Source organism: Homo sapiens, chromosome 18 (genome assembly GCF_000001405.40).
Source record: "Homo sapiens chromosome 18, GRCh38.p14 Primary Assembly".
Taxonomy (NCBI): Eukaryota; Metazoa; Chordata; class Mammalia; order Primates; family Hominidae; genus Homo; species Homo sapiens.
Window position 1 is genome coordinate 76,899,392 of NC_000018.10, and position 13,789 is coordinate 76,913,180.

Consider the following 13,789-nt stretch of genomic DNA (forward strand, 5'->3'; position numbering starts at 1 on the left):
AGTCAAGATTAAAATCTAAGTTGTATCCAAACTACTGCTCAAATTGTTTTCTCGGATTAGAGACAAATAATGTGTAAGTGAAAACAGTAGCGTGTAAGTCCTCATTGAAGAAACATTGCTACCTCAGTGGAACCATCAAAAGTGAGAAGGGGTTTTTATGTGAAACACACAGTGCACGTTGTTGTTTTCATCTTTAGGTTCTTTGTACTGTGTTACAGATTATTTGGGCTACTTTAATCTTTGGATTAAAAAGGAAAAGAAAAATCTGCCTGCTTTTCTTTTTAGGTTCAGTGTTACTATAACCAACCCAAACTATGATTTTGTTGATGATCTAGAAAGAAAACACTGCTTGTTAGAATCTTTAGAAAAATTATATTTGTTAGTACTAGAACAAAATTTAAGAAACCTCATTGTCTTAGTTTGTTTGAGCTCCTGAATCAAAAATACCACTAACTGTGTAGCTTGTAAATACTAGGAGTTTACTTCTCACAGTTCTAGAGGCTGGGAAGTCCAAGATCATGGTGCTGGCAGATTGAGTGTCTAGTGAGGTCTCTCTTCCTCATAGATAGTGCCTTCTGGCTATGTCCTCCCAAAGGTCCTACCTCTTACTACATGAATTTTGGAGGACCACAAACATTTAGACCACATCACTTACTAATGTGTGAATTTACATTTTTATGCAGTTTCTGTATTTCACTACTTTCCTAGGAAAGATAATTCAATCTATAAGCAAAATTAATATTAAAATATAATTCCTTAATTCCAAAGCATAACCTTTATTTACAATAATTGTAAATTATTGTATAGAGAGATTTTAGATTGTTATAAATTGGGGGCCACCAGTAAGATGATCAACAGCCATAAACTTGTGTGAATCTGAGAGTTTAACATCAAAATATTTAAACTAAAAAAATTCAAAGAAAGGAAATACTCAAATTCTCAAGTGCAGTGAAAGATCCTCAATTAGACAGGTCAACTTAAACACCTTAAAACGGAAGATTTGAGCACACAAATAAAAAGAGTTACTTAATAGCTTTATAGAATCTTTTGCCTTAAATTACATACTTTTAAATATGCATGAAACAGAAGTTGATCACATTCTAGGATACAGAAAAATTTCAATAAATTTTCAGAAGTTGATTTTGTATAGGATACAATCTTTGATTACAGTTCACTGAAAAACTTATAAAATAGCCATCCAAAATTTCATTACATGAAAAGAAGGACTCGAAACAGATACTGCATACTACACATGTGAGTATTATGTAAACAGATTGGATGGACCAAAGCCGTCCTAGGAAAAATTAAGACTTTTGAGTATTATTAGAAAATAAGACAGATTGAAAATAAGTAAAATATTTAACTAAAAAAACTAGGAAAATTAAAAGAAAGTAGCAGAAAGGAATTAATATAGCAGTTCCCAACCTTTTTGTCATCAGGGATTGGTTTTGCAGAAGACAGTTTTTCCACAGATTGGGGGTCGGGTGGGAGGACTGGTTTCAGGGTAAAACTGTTCCACTCAGATGTCAGAGAATCAGACATTAGATTCTCGGAAGGAGTGCGCAGCCTAGATCCCTCACATGCACAGTGCACAATAGGGTTCGCACTCCTGTGAGAATCTAACACTCTTCGGATCTGACAGGAGGCGGAGCTCAGATGGTAAAGCTTACTCACCTGCTATTCGCCTCCTGCTGCGTGGCCCGGTTCCTAACAGGCAGCCTGGGGCTTGAGGACCCCTTAATTAATACATATAATGGAATTGGAGATAGAAGACAAAACTGTAGTGAACTGAAGTTTTACAAAACTTATAAAAATGAACAGAAAATATAGATGACTTGTCACTAATAAAGAAACATGAGAAAACATAGGAATGAGAAAGAAGTTGTAAGCACAGATACAAATGAGGTAACAATTGTTTGCAAATACTCTACAACTTTTTCCTAATATATTTGAAAATTTTGATGAAATGAATCTTTTCTAAAATAATATGCTTGGCAGAATTGACTGTAGAAGAAATAGAAAACTCCAAAATACACAACAAATTGACAAGATAGTAAAAGATCATCTTCTCCAAAACACCAGTCTGGTTGGGCGCGGTGGCTCACGCCTGTGACCCTAGCACTTTGGAAGGCCGAGGTGGGCGATCACTCAAGGTCAGGAGTTTGAGACCAGCCTGGCCAACATGGCAAAACCCCATCTCTACTAGAAATACATAAATTAGCCGGGCGTGGTGGCAGGCACCAATAATCCCAGCTACTCAGGAGGCTGAGGCAGGAGAATGGCTTGAACCCAGGAGGCAGAGGTTGCAGTAAGCCAAGATTGCACCACTGGACTCCAGCCTGGGGAACAACAGTGAAACTCTGTCTCAAAAAAAAAAAAGTCTGATAATTTAATATACGAATTGTACTAAGCTTCCTAGGAACTATAATTGTTATGCTATTTAACTGTTTTTGAGCATAGAATGGGATCAAAACCCCCATGGTAGCGTAGAATACTTTGATATCCTTGTCCAGTTTTGGCTGCTCACAAAATGAAGCAACAGACCGGTTTCTTCTTTCAGGTTGCCGTAAATCAAGTTGTACACCCATGGGTTTCTGGACTTCAAGTTTTTGAATCTTCAGTTGAGTTAGGTTCTTGACTCTTCAGCAATTTTTCAGGGTTAAAATGGGATATATTTTGCTTGTTGGCTTCGCAGATACTTGTATCTTAGACCAGATAGGGGAACCTGAATTCTTTGGTTTAGGCTGAGGAAGACACATGAGGGAAATGATTGCTAGAGGGAGCTTCACACTGTAAATTGTAAAATATTGTAACTATGTCTTGTGCTTAATTTTGTTATTTGTATTTGTGTTCATCTCTTCTCTCAGACTCTGGGCTCCTTAGAGGCTATAGAAAAGACTTGGCTGTCATAATCTTTGGGGGACAGAGTTTGATAAAAACATGGTAAGGAGAGGATTAGCATAGAATAGTGTTATGAGAGTAAGTGAAAGTAGAATGCTCATTGAGGAAGCTAGCGGTAGTCCAGGGGAGTCCTTGACCGAGAGCAATGTGGAAGAGGAAACCTGCATCCAGGGTTCTGCCATCACTGTTTTTGAGAACCAGGCATGGCATTCAGTCTGCATGTCTCAGCATGTGTAGGGAAGGTGGTAGGCACGGACTGGATGCCTGCATTTTTCTTTCTTTTTTCTTTCCTTTCTTGAGACAGAGTCTCACTCTGTCACCCAGGCTGGAGTGCAATGGTACGATCTCGGCTCACTGCAACCTCTGCCTCCCGGGTTCAAGCGATTCTCCTGCCTCAGCTTCCTGAGTAGCTAGGACTACAGGCATGTGCCACCATGCCTGGTAATTTTTGTATTTTTTGTATTTTTATTTTTTTTTAAGTAGAGACGGGGTTTCTGCATGTTGGCCAGGCTGATCTCAAACTCCCGACCTCAGGTGATCCACCCACCTTGGCCTCCCAAAGTGCTGGGATTACAGGCCTGAGCCACTGTGCCCAGCCTGCATTTTTCTCTTTTGAGCAGGATGAGTTGTTAGGAAAAAGTGAGGCTGTGCTGTCAAGCACAGGGTGGTGTCAGAGCTGCCTGGAGCGAGGTCTTTGATACAGCTCTGATTGTCCAGAAGGCTTGTGAGATGAGAAAAGGCTTGGTAGTCTTAGGAGTTGTGCTGTGTGGGTTATATCACAAGGGAGGGTTCTGAATACTTTTTGAAAAATAAGGTTCTGATGCAAGCTTCAGGAAGCATAGGTGAATTTCCTTAAATCTAATAATGAGCTAGGTGAAATTGGTTGGGCTGTCAAATTCCCTCCAGCTTTGTAATTGTTTCACTGCTATTTGAGATTGGTGGCAGTGGAAAAAGAAGAGAAGATGCAAGTTTAAGAGACATTGGAGTGGTGTTGATCATCAGGACTGGCAAATGCCGAGTACAGGACAGGGAAGGGAACTCTCAGAGGTCCGGGGCTCCCCAGCCTTAGGGACCAGAAGACTGTTCCAGGCATGCAGCTAGGAAAGCTGGGAGAAGTGGGCTTTAGGGGAAGAAATTGAAACGGAATCTGTATTTTTATGGAAAGTCCGGAAAAACAGAGTGTGTTCAGAGGTGCATCATGCTAATCATTGTATAGCAGTTAAGGTACAAATGAGGGAGGAGAGAGGACCGGGAATGGAGAGCTGTGGGCAGAGGACAAAATCTTGGCCAATGCCTCCTTGTCTTGGCAGGAGGAGCAGCCCAAGGCTGATTAGAGGACTGACTGCGTGTGTCACCCTCTTAACGTTCCAAATGACTCTTAAGGAATTCGAAAGTTTACCCCCAAGCTTGTCCTGAATTCCTGAAATAATGCAGTAGCTTGATCAATTCATATTTATTACATGGTCAACCTGAAGGAATTCTTAATTTAGTAAATGTATATAAAATGAAATATTTAAATTACTAATTTTGTTATTTGTAGATATCCCTTTAGTGATATCTGTGAAAATGCTAACCTTTTTAGAACAAAAGATCATGTTAGAGTCACTTTTGTTTTCAGTTTATTATAGTATCTAGTGTGCAGTATTCATACTGAATAAACAAGGTATTAAAATCTTGCTTATCCTGAATTTTGGACATAGTTATGTAGACTCCATGTCAACAAATGCCCATATAGAAAGTAAATGTAGAAATTCATTAGAAATTGGCCGTGGAATCAAGGGAAGTAATTGTGACTAGATATTTCTCATGTTTAAAAAATGAGCAACATTAATATATATTAATTTATAATGTTTGTTAATTTATAAATTAATTTGTAATGTTATATTATAAATATATTAATTTATAATGTTTCCCCATAGGTATTCTTTGAATAGCCAGTTCCTAACACAATTAAAATAACATAGTTGCAACATTAGAATCTAACTTACCAGAATTTTCATCTTCTGGGTAAAACATGTGCCTTGTGACATTTAATTGTATTACTAGCATTGACAGTGAATTACATCTGCTTTTCTTTTGCTTTGTAGGTCTCATCCAGCCCATTCCAAAAAACCAGTTTTTCCAAAGCTATTTCAATAATAATTTTGTCAATGAAGCAGATAGACCATACAAGTGTTTTTACTGTCATCGTGCATATAAAAAATCTTGCCACCTTAAACAACACATCAGGTAAGGTAACGGATTCACAGATGGAAATTTAGTATAATTAAACTGACTTAGTGACCTGATGACGTCTAGAAGTATTTAGGATGGTAGCATTAGCTTTTGGTATTAAAGATGTCACATTTGACTCCAAAACATTTATTGGTAATTAATATTTTTATTCTTTAATGTCTTGACTAAAATATTTTATCCAGAAATTGCTACTGGAGTTTATGTATATGCTCATTAAATTTCAGTGTTTGCAATTTCCAAGAAATGTCAAAGAAGTTTATTTTATTAGACTTCCTTTTGTGTTTTTCAGATGTATTTATCAGTTTAGATTAATTCTTAGTGCTAGCCACAGTGAAAAGGAAGTCGAACCTTGATCATGAGAGACAGTGTGATGTCATGAAAAAAGTATAGAACTTAGAAAAAGACATGGCTTCTAGCTTCATCTCAGTCGTGTGACTTGAGGCAGGTCGCTTAAGCACTCTGAGTCTCAGGCTTCCTCCCTTGTGAAATGTGGAGAGCTCCGGCATTGCTGCTTAGCTTTAAAAAATGTGATGATGAAGTGAAGCGAAATGCAAGAGTGCATTCTAGTCACAAAGCATTATAAAAGTATAAGAAACATATTCATTAAAATGTGTATTTTTTTTTAAGATCCCATACAGGTGAAAAACCTTTTAAATGTTCTCAGTGTGGAAGAGGCTTTGTTTCTGCAGGCGTGCTCAAAGCACACATCAGAACACACACAGGACTGAAATCTTTCAAGTGTCTGATATGTAATGGGGCTTTCACTACTGGTGGCAGCTTACGGCGACACATGGGTATCCACAACGACCTTCGTCCCTATATGTGTCCCTATTGCCAAAAAACATTTAAGACTTCACTAAATTGCAAAAAGCACATGAAAACCCACAGGTGGGTGTAATTCTGGTGGTCACTTTTTATCATCTTTATAATTTCCAGTAGATGGTGGGGAGTGTTTTTAGGAAATAATTGTCTTTGATTCTTACATTATTATTTCTAGCTCATACTATATGGGCTCAAGAAAAAAAAAAAAAAAAAAAAAAAAAGAAATGTAAGTATTAGTGTCTAAGGATCTAATGGGAGCCATAGACTGAAGCATTAGCATTTTCATTTTTAATTTAATAATGAAGTAGTTTATATTCTGTAAGCTGTCTTTTAAAGCTGTTAGTTGGTAATTAGTTGAAATGCTGGACTGTGTCTAGTACAGTCAGATAGTGAATATTTCAGAAAAGAGAATCTTAAAGACCCTGTGATTTCTAGGCCTGTCATCAGCAAATCTGAATGGTAATTATTCTATGTTGTTGACTTTAAAGAATACATATTTTAGATATTCCATAAACTTTTCATTCAGCCTAGCTTATATTTTCACATGATTGGAAGGCTAGCTCGTCTCTATGTGGATGTAATCCGGAAGAGATGCATTTCTGACTAGTGCTGGGGCCTATTCGATGAGTATTTCTGTGAAGCCACAGAATTCTGTGTGGTACTGTAACACCTGGGTAGGGTGACCACAGCTTAGGAGATGTGAAAGGGAGAGTCACTAGGCCTAAAGCTGCTGCCCTGGAACATTTGCTTTGAGACAGCATTTTAACCCAGATATGTCTGCCTGGATGTCGTCTACAAAGCAAAACCTTAAATATTAGAATAAGTTACCTGTGATAGTGTTGTTTTGATATTATTGATCTGACTGCCTAAGCACCCTCAACAGAATTGACGTTTTTGATTTCAGTATCGTTGATTGCTTAGCTGAGAAATTTACCTGCTGCTTGAGACCACCCAGGGAGTGTGGTATTGGCGGTGTTATATGTGGACTCCTGTTAATTACATATCCACTTACACTTCACTGCATTTTGTGGAGGGAATCCTGTGCAGGGCACTGCATGTGTTTGGGAACTGGGGAACTCGGGGGCACATGGATGTTGAGGATGCTTGTGTTCCTGCTCGCTGTAGCAGGATGACGGGTCCCCAGTTGGCCCAAGAGCTTACCGTGCTAAGAAGAATGGAGCTTGGGCGCTTGCTTGCTCAGTGGAATGTTAAACCAAATCTTTTTCAGTCAGGAAGCCAGCCTCTTCCAGTGTCCTTTCGTAGTAGTATTGGGAATATGGGTGTTCAGGCCCTTGTTTCCGGACCCAGTGACCAATGCTGTAATTGCGGGGTCACCTTTATTAAGTGGTATATTGTGCGACCATTGTTTGTCATCAGTTTCGAGGGACACATGTAGGAGATGAATGTAGAGCTTTGAGAGGACACTAAGCAGATCAGCCTGTTGTTGCAGAGCTGCAGTGCTTTGCTTTTACAGATTGTGTGCACTTGGAATCTGCCTACAAGGAGAGCATCCAGCCAGGGTTTCATTCCTTTGAATTGTTGGAAATTCCCAAAATACCACATATACTCATGCTAAAGATAGGTAAAGAAGGTTACTGTAGTAAAATTTATTGGAAAAAACAAAGAACCAAGGAAACAAACAGAAAACAAGCCTCCATCAGTTAGCGTGAGACACACATGTGCTTAGGTTAGAGTGGCTTTTACAGGCCCCTGCGTGCCACTGCGCTGCTGTGTGGAAGCATCACAGTGGAGGTGCAGGCGTGCATTTTCTAACTCTTCTCTATTATGCGACACATTTTTGTTCTCCCTTCCACAGTAAAAGTAGTTATGAATTGTCTATTTTGGATATTAGAAAACGAAGAGGGAAAATTTTGTTTGGAACTGAGAATGAAATTCTGAGTAGGCAGATTCCTAAGACACTGGAATAGAGCCCATGATGCAGCTTGTATGGTCTGTGTGTGCAGAGGCAGAAGAGGGGACCAGGCGGCTCTTTTTTGTGTGTGTGGGTGTTTTTGTTTGTTTGAGACGGAGTCTCGCTCTGTTGCCCAGGCTGGAGTGCCGTGGTGCAATTTTGGCTCACTGCAACCTCCTGCCTCAGCCTCCCAAGTAGCTGGGATTACAGGCGTGCACCCCTGCACCTGGCTAATTTTTGTATTTGTAGTAGAGATGGGGTTTCACCATGTTGGCCAGGCTGGCCTTGAACTCCTGACCTCAGGTGATCCTCCAGCCTTGGCCTCCCAAAGTGCTGGGATTACAGGTGTGAGCTGCGCGCCTGGCCGGCTCTTTGTCTTAGATATTCTTCGTACTAGCCAGCCTGTTAGTCAGATAATTGTGTGAGATTTTTTTCTTTTTTTTTTTTTTCAAGTTCTCAGTTCATTGCTGAATTCATTGTTCATCTTTTCCTTTGAAAGAGAAATCGTTGACTTTGATGAATGCTGGATACACTTTGTGTATGTAAATGTTGCTGAAAGCAACATTTGGATCGTTGGTCCAATAAAGGGCCTGAGGCCCAGGCTGTGAGAGACAGTAGGTGATGAGGCTGGAGGCTCTCTGCGCACCACGTGTTGTCAGATTTAGATCAGTCTATAAAGGTGTCGTCTCATTTAGTACAATTATTTTTCTGAATACTTAGACTCATTGCAGAACTTGAGTTGGGAGAGTTTTACTTTTAAACACGAGACATCTTTTTAATGTTTTTAAACTATTAGGCATTCGGGTGTGTGTTGTCCTTCATCCTCCGTTCGTGCCTTGTGTCTTGTAGCCGGTGGAAGCACTTAAAGATAAGGCAAACGAGCTCTCTTCAGAGTTACTAATGTGTTCAGTTTTTACCTGAATTGCCATCATGACTTCAAAATGAAATCATTAATAAAAAATGTTATTTAATCAATGACAACTCTTTCACTGTAGTATCCCAGGCAAGTAACCTTTGACAGCATCTAACCTGATGAACTGTTGTTAATTTTTCTGAAGATATGAGCTTGCCCAGCAGCTCCAACAGCATCAGCAGGCAGCCTCGATAGATGACAGCACTGTAGACCAGCAGAGCATGCAGGCCTCCACTCAAATGCAGGTGGAGATCGAGAGCGACGAGCTGCCGCAGACGGCAGAGGTGGTCGCAGCGAACCCCGAGGCCATGCTGGACCTGGAGCCTCAGCATGTGGTGGGCACGGAGGAAGCAGGGCTGGGCCAGCAGTTGGCAGATCAGCCCCTGGAAGCAGATGAAGGTAAATGTTTCAGGATATTTAACTTTGAGTGATCCCAGCAGAGTTTTGCAGCCTTTCCCACTCATTGCAGTCCATTGGTGTCTCCCATCACTGACTTTTAAAACAATTTGTGCTGTATGTGAAAGAGATTGAATTGAGTATTTGATATCATTCCATGTCCTCTTAAATTAGATTTTTACTTTTCAATTTTATTAGATTTCTTAGGGGAAGTTCTTTTTTGAAAAAACAAAAACAAAGTGATCAGACTTCTTGTTAGGAAATATTCGAAATCTTGTTAAGAAGTAGTTGAAATTTTAGGACTGCAGCAAAATCTACCGTCCTTATTTTGATATAGGTGCTACCAATTTTTTTCCATACAAATATGCAGGGGTGTGTGTGTATGTGTGTGTCTGTGTGTGTGTGTGTGTGTGTGTGTGTGTGTGTGTGTGTGTGTTTGGTATGCGTATATAATTATACAAATAAGGCTGGGTGTGGTGGCTCACGCCTGTAATCCCAGCACTTTGGGAGGCTGAGGCAGGTGGATCACTTGAGGTCAGCAATTCAAGACCAGCCTGGCTATGGTGAAACCGTATCTCTACTAAAAATACGAAACTTAGCTGGGTGTGGTGGTGCATACCTGTAATCTCAGCTACATAGGAGGCTGAGGCAGGAGAATTGCTTGAACCTGGGAGGCGGAGGTTGCAGTGAGCCGAGATGGCGCCATTGCACTCCAGCCTGGACAACGGAGTGAGTGAGACTCTGTCTCAAAAAAAAAAAAAAAAAAAATTATACAAATAGGACCTTGCAGTGCATACTATTTTGTGACCTTTTATCCCCGGTATATTGAGAACATCTTTCAAGTGTACATCTGTATGATCTTTAGTATTCTATAAAGTACACTCAGTGTAGATTCAAAGATGAATGTAGGTCAGTGAACTGTGGGTGACTGGTCTGCGGTGAGATGAGGCTCCTGAACCAGAATATAAAGCAGCACTTTGCTTCCTTCATCAGTAAAGTTTGGCTACAAAACACAATGTCAGGTCAACTGTAGACTGTGTGATTAGTGACATAGCTGGCTGCGTCTGGCACAGGCTTCTTATCTCACACAGGCATGTCAGCAAACAGTGTGCTGACCAGTTTACTGTTTTGTTTTATGGATGTCTCAAATGTATTCCGTCTTTGGGGAGGATTATACACTTACCCCTATGGTGCCTGCAACCATGCACACGCAGAAAGGTTTTAAACAATTATGGAATGTAATAGCATTTTAGAATATTGTTTAATGGAACAATGTCTGAGTTTTCAGACAGACGCTAAAGGCTTTCAGGGATGGTATTCTAGAAATGCAAAGAGAATGCTTTAAGCATATGTATGTATTAAATTATCTCCCTGTTTTCTTTTCAAAATAAGGTGTCTGATATTTGAAAACTCGCCGAAGTGTACTTTTGGACAGATTTGCAGTTGTGAAATAACTTCCAAATGTATGCGTCCCCCTTTTTTACATCTCATCCTCAGATGGGTTTGTGGCTCCACAGGACCCTCTGCGAGGGCACGTAGACCAGTTTGAAGAGCAGAGCCCTGCGCAACAGTCCTTCGAACCAGCAGGGCTACCCCAAGGTCAGTGGTGGGTTTTCAATGAAATTTGTAAGTGAGCTATACTTCAGTTGAATTTAATCTCATGACAACCTTACATGTTTTCTCTTAAGGCCCTTCTAAAGTGTATGGTTTCAAACCAAATAACTTTTTGCATGCATTGTAGATTTTTTTTTATTGATGCATACTATTTTGTGGTCTGCTTAGGTCTTCTGGAAAGTGACCTTTGCAGCCATTCTACACGTAGTTTCCAGTCAAGAAAAGGTGGCTGAGTAGAAATTGGAACTTCGTGGTGGCTGGTCCTGTAAAGCCTCCGGTGCTGTAATGTCTGCTGAGCACAGCCTCCTGCCTGTTAGCAAACAGTGTTAAAGCTTGCTAATAGCAGCTAGTCCTAATTCTAATTCAGAAAATAGAAATGCCCCTTTAGACATTTTAAATTTATAAACCTTTTCTTAGAACATTTTAATGTAACTTTAATATTTTTGTAGAACTCCTCTTTTCTAATTTATTTTAGGTTTTACAGTGACTGATACGTACCATCAGCAGCCTCAGTTTCCACCTGTCCAACAGCTACAGGATTCCAGCACACTTGAGTCTCAGGCCCTCTCCACAAGCTTCCACCAGCAGAGCTTGCTGCAGGCTCCCAGCTCTGATGGGATGAATGTAGTGAGTATGGACAGAGGGGTGCATACATGGCAGTATTTAGCAGGTGCTATGTTATTCTTCACTGTCATTATTAAAAATTTCCTTAAGGGAAATTTTAAGAGGCATGCTCACTTCTTGTAGCATTAAGGTTACTGCATTACCTGGGAAATCCTCAGTGTTTAGTACACAGGGCTTTCTTTTTCCTTAAAACATTTTAATTTTGCTTAAAGGTTTCACTGCCATGGTGTGGCCTTGCATTTGTGATTAAAAACCAAAAATTGACTAGAGTGCTATGTAATAACACGTTGAAAGGTACTATGTTGCTTTAGGCACAAAGCCTCAACATTTTTATTTGTGGACTTTTAAACATGTTAGAAGGAAAATATAATGAATGCTGACGTTAAAAAATATTTAAATGCATCATTTAAAATTTTATCTCTTACTCCTGGTTGGAGACATTTTAATTTTGGTTTTGGTTTTCATTTTCCTGCTTTTGGAAATTTCTTAATAGTGATGAGAAATTGACCAATTGTTATCCCTCTTTAAAATCCACCGCGGGTAGCTTTGCCCAAGTGGTAGGGCTGGACCCTCCCGTGAAAATTTCAGAACATTTTTCTCATAGGTAGAAACTACATAATTGGCAGCAGATGCTGAATCTGGGAAGTGGAGAACGTACTTCTTAGCAGCTGACTTTACTCCAGAGCTCTCTAAATAAAACTGTGCAAATCCAGTTCTGTTGTTGTGGTTTATCTAAGTTGGTTTTGGAAGTCAGGTAAACAAATGCGACACAGGCCCTTGCTTATAGCAACGTGCACTTGCTGCCCAGGGGTGGATGACTCTACTGTTCGCAGTCTGTCCTGTGACTCCAGGCCTTCTGAAGGTCAGTGGAGCTTATCCTCTACTCAGTGTGAGCATGGATCTATTATAGAGTGGTTAGAAAACATTGACCAGATTTTTGTTTTGTCCTTGCTGTGGTAGCATGGGTTGTAATGCCGCTGTCAGGAAGGGATGGGGTCAGTGTGACTGCCCTATATGTGCGTGGTACCGTTCTTGGGGATGGAGAGCATGTCTTTCTCACCCTCTGGTTTGTGTGACAAGAGGAGACATAATATTATACTCTCTGAAGGTGGGATTTTATTCACTGTCAGTAAGAGTAGAGCAGATGAAAGAGGAATCTCTTATTAAGATATATAAAATAATCAGTTTTATGGTTGATTAAGCTTTGTATTAAGGTAGGGTAATAGAAAATAAATAGGTCTTCATTTAATAAAATCTGTATAAGTGATCTTTATTATTGCTCTGGCCTAAATGATTACAGTGAACTATTTGGGGTTTCTCTCTCTTAGATCCACATTTTATGAATGTTCTTATCCTTAGTTCTTAGCTGCTCAGTTGTTTTATGTTTATTCACAGATATTCAAGTAGTTTGCTTTATACTTCTCTTAAATTTTAGACAACTCGCTTGATTCAGGAGTCATCCCAAGAGGAACTGGACCTGCAGGCACAAGGTTCCCAGTTTCTGGAGGACAACGAGGACCAGAGCAGGCGCTCTTACAGGTAGTTGTCTGCACAGACCAGCTCATGGTATTGCCGGCTCCCAGGAACGGATGCTGCTGTGTGTTTGCCCCGCTCCAAGGGCTCTGCGATTTCATTCTCTCAAAACTGTTCAAAACAGTTCCATTGTCATCCATATTCTGTAAATAAACGATCTGAGACAAAAGAGATTAACTTGCTAAACTTTTTACAGCAGATAAGTGAGCGGGCCAGGATTTGGATACGGCAGTCTTCAGTTTGTCTGTTTGAAGTACTCTGCTGCAGCTTCCCGTCACTGTTTTAAGTCATTATTATTCCATTTTCGAAATTAGTTAAATTTATATTATGCCTTTTAGTTCAAGACTCTTCATGTGCTTTACATATAACAATCTGTGTACCAGGATACAGCACAATTAGAAAGACAGCTTTTTAGATGTGTCCGTCCACTGGCTCAGCAGTACATACTGAGCACCCTCTGTGCACAATGTACAAGTAATTTTTGTATTTTTAGTAGAGATGGGGTTTCACCACATTGGCCAGGCTGGTCTCAAACTCCTGACCTCAGGTGATCCACCTGCATCGGCCTCCCAAAGTGCTGGGATTACAGGCGTGAGCCACCGCCAAACCAGATTTACAAGAGTGAATTTTCAAAATGTATTCAGACACTTCCAGCTTTTAGTTTAATTTGGACTTGAGAGGAAAGTTAGTTGCCTCTACGTGGGCACCCAGTCTTGACTTAGGTTATAGTGTAGGGACGTCACTAACCTCTTGCTGGAGATTAAAACTTGAGAATGGACAAAAGAGACATACTAATGGAATAAGCTTTTAATAATATGTGAGTAGGAGTTTTGAAATTT

General features: G+C 40.0%; 1 protein-coding gene across 7 annotated transcripts in view; it reads left to right on the top strand.

Moving 5' to 3' along the window:
• ZNF236 (zinc finger protein 236) overlaps positions 1-13,789 on the top strand; it is a 150,345-nt gene that overhangs the window by 76,835 nt on the left and 59,721 nt on the right. For all 7 annotated transcript variants that reach the window (NM_001306089.2, XM_011526168.3, XM_011526169.4 and 4 more), the window contains 6 exons: positions 4,989-5,130; positions 5,764-6,024; positions 8,929-9,182; positions 10,677-10,778; positions 11,269-11,420; positions 12,853-12,956. In NM_001306089.2, the coding sequence (NP_001293018.1) occupies positions 4,989-5,130; positions 5,764-6,024; positions 8,929-9,182; positions 10,677-10,778; positions 11,269-11,420; positions 12,853-12,956 (1,015 nt within the window). The remainder of the gene's footprint in view (positions 1-4,988; positions 5,131-5,763; positions 6,025-8,928; positions 9,183-10,676; positions 10,779-11,268; positions 11,421-12,852; positions 12,957-13,789) is intronic.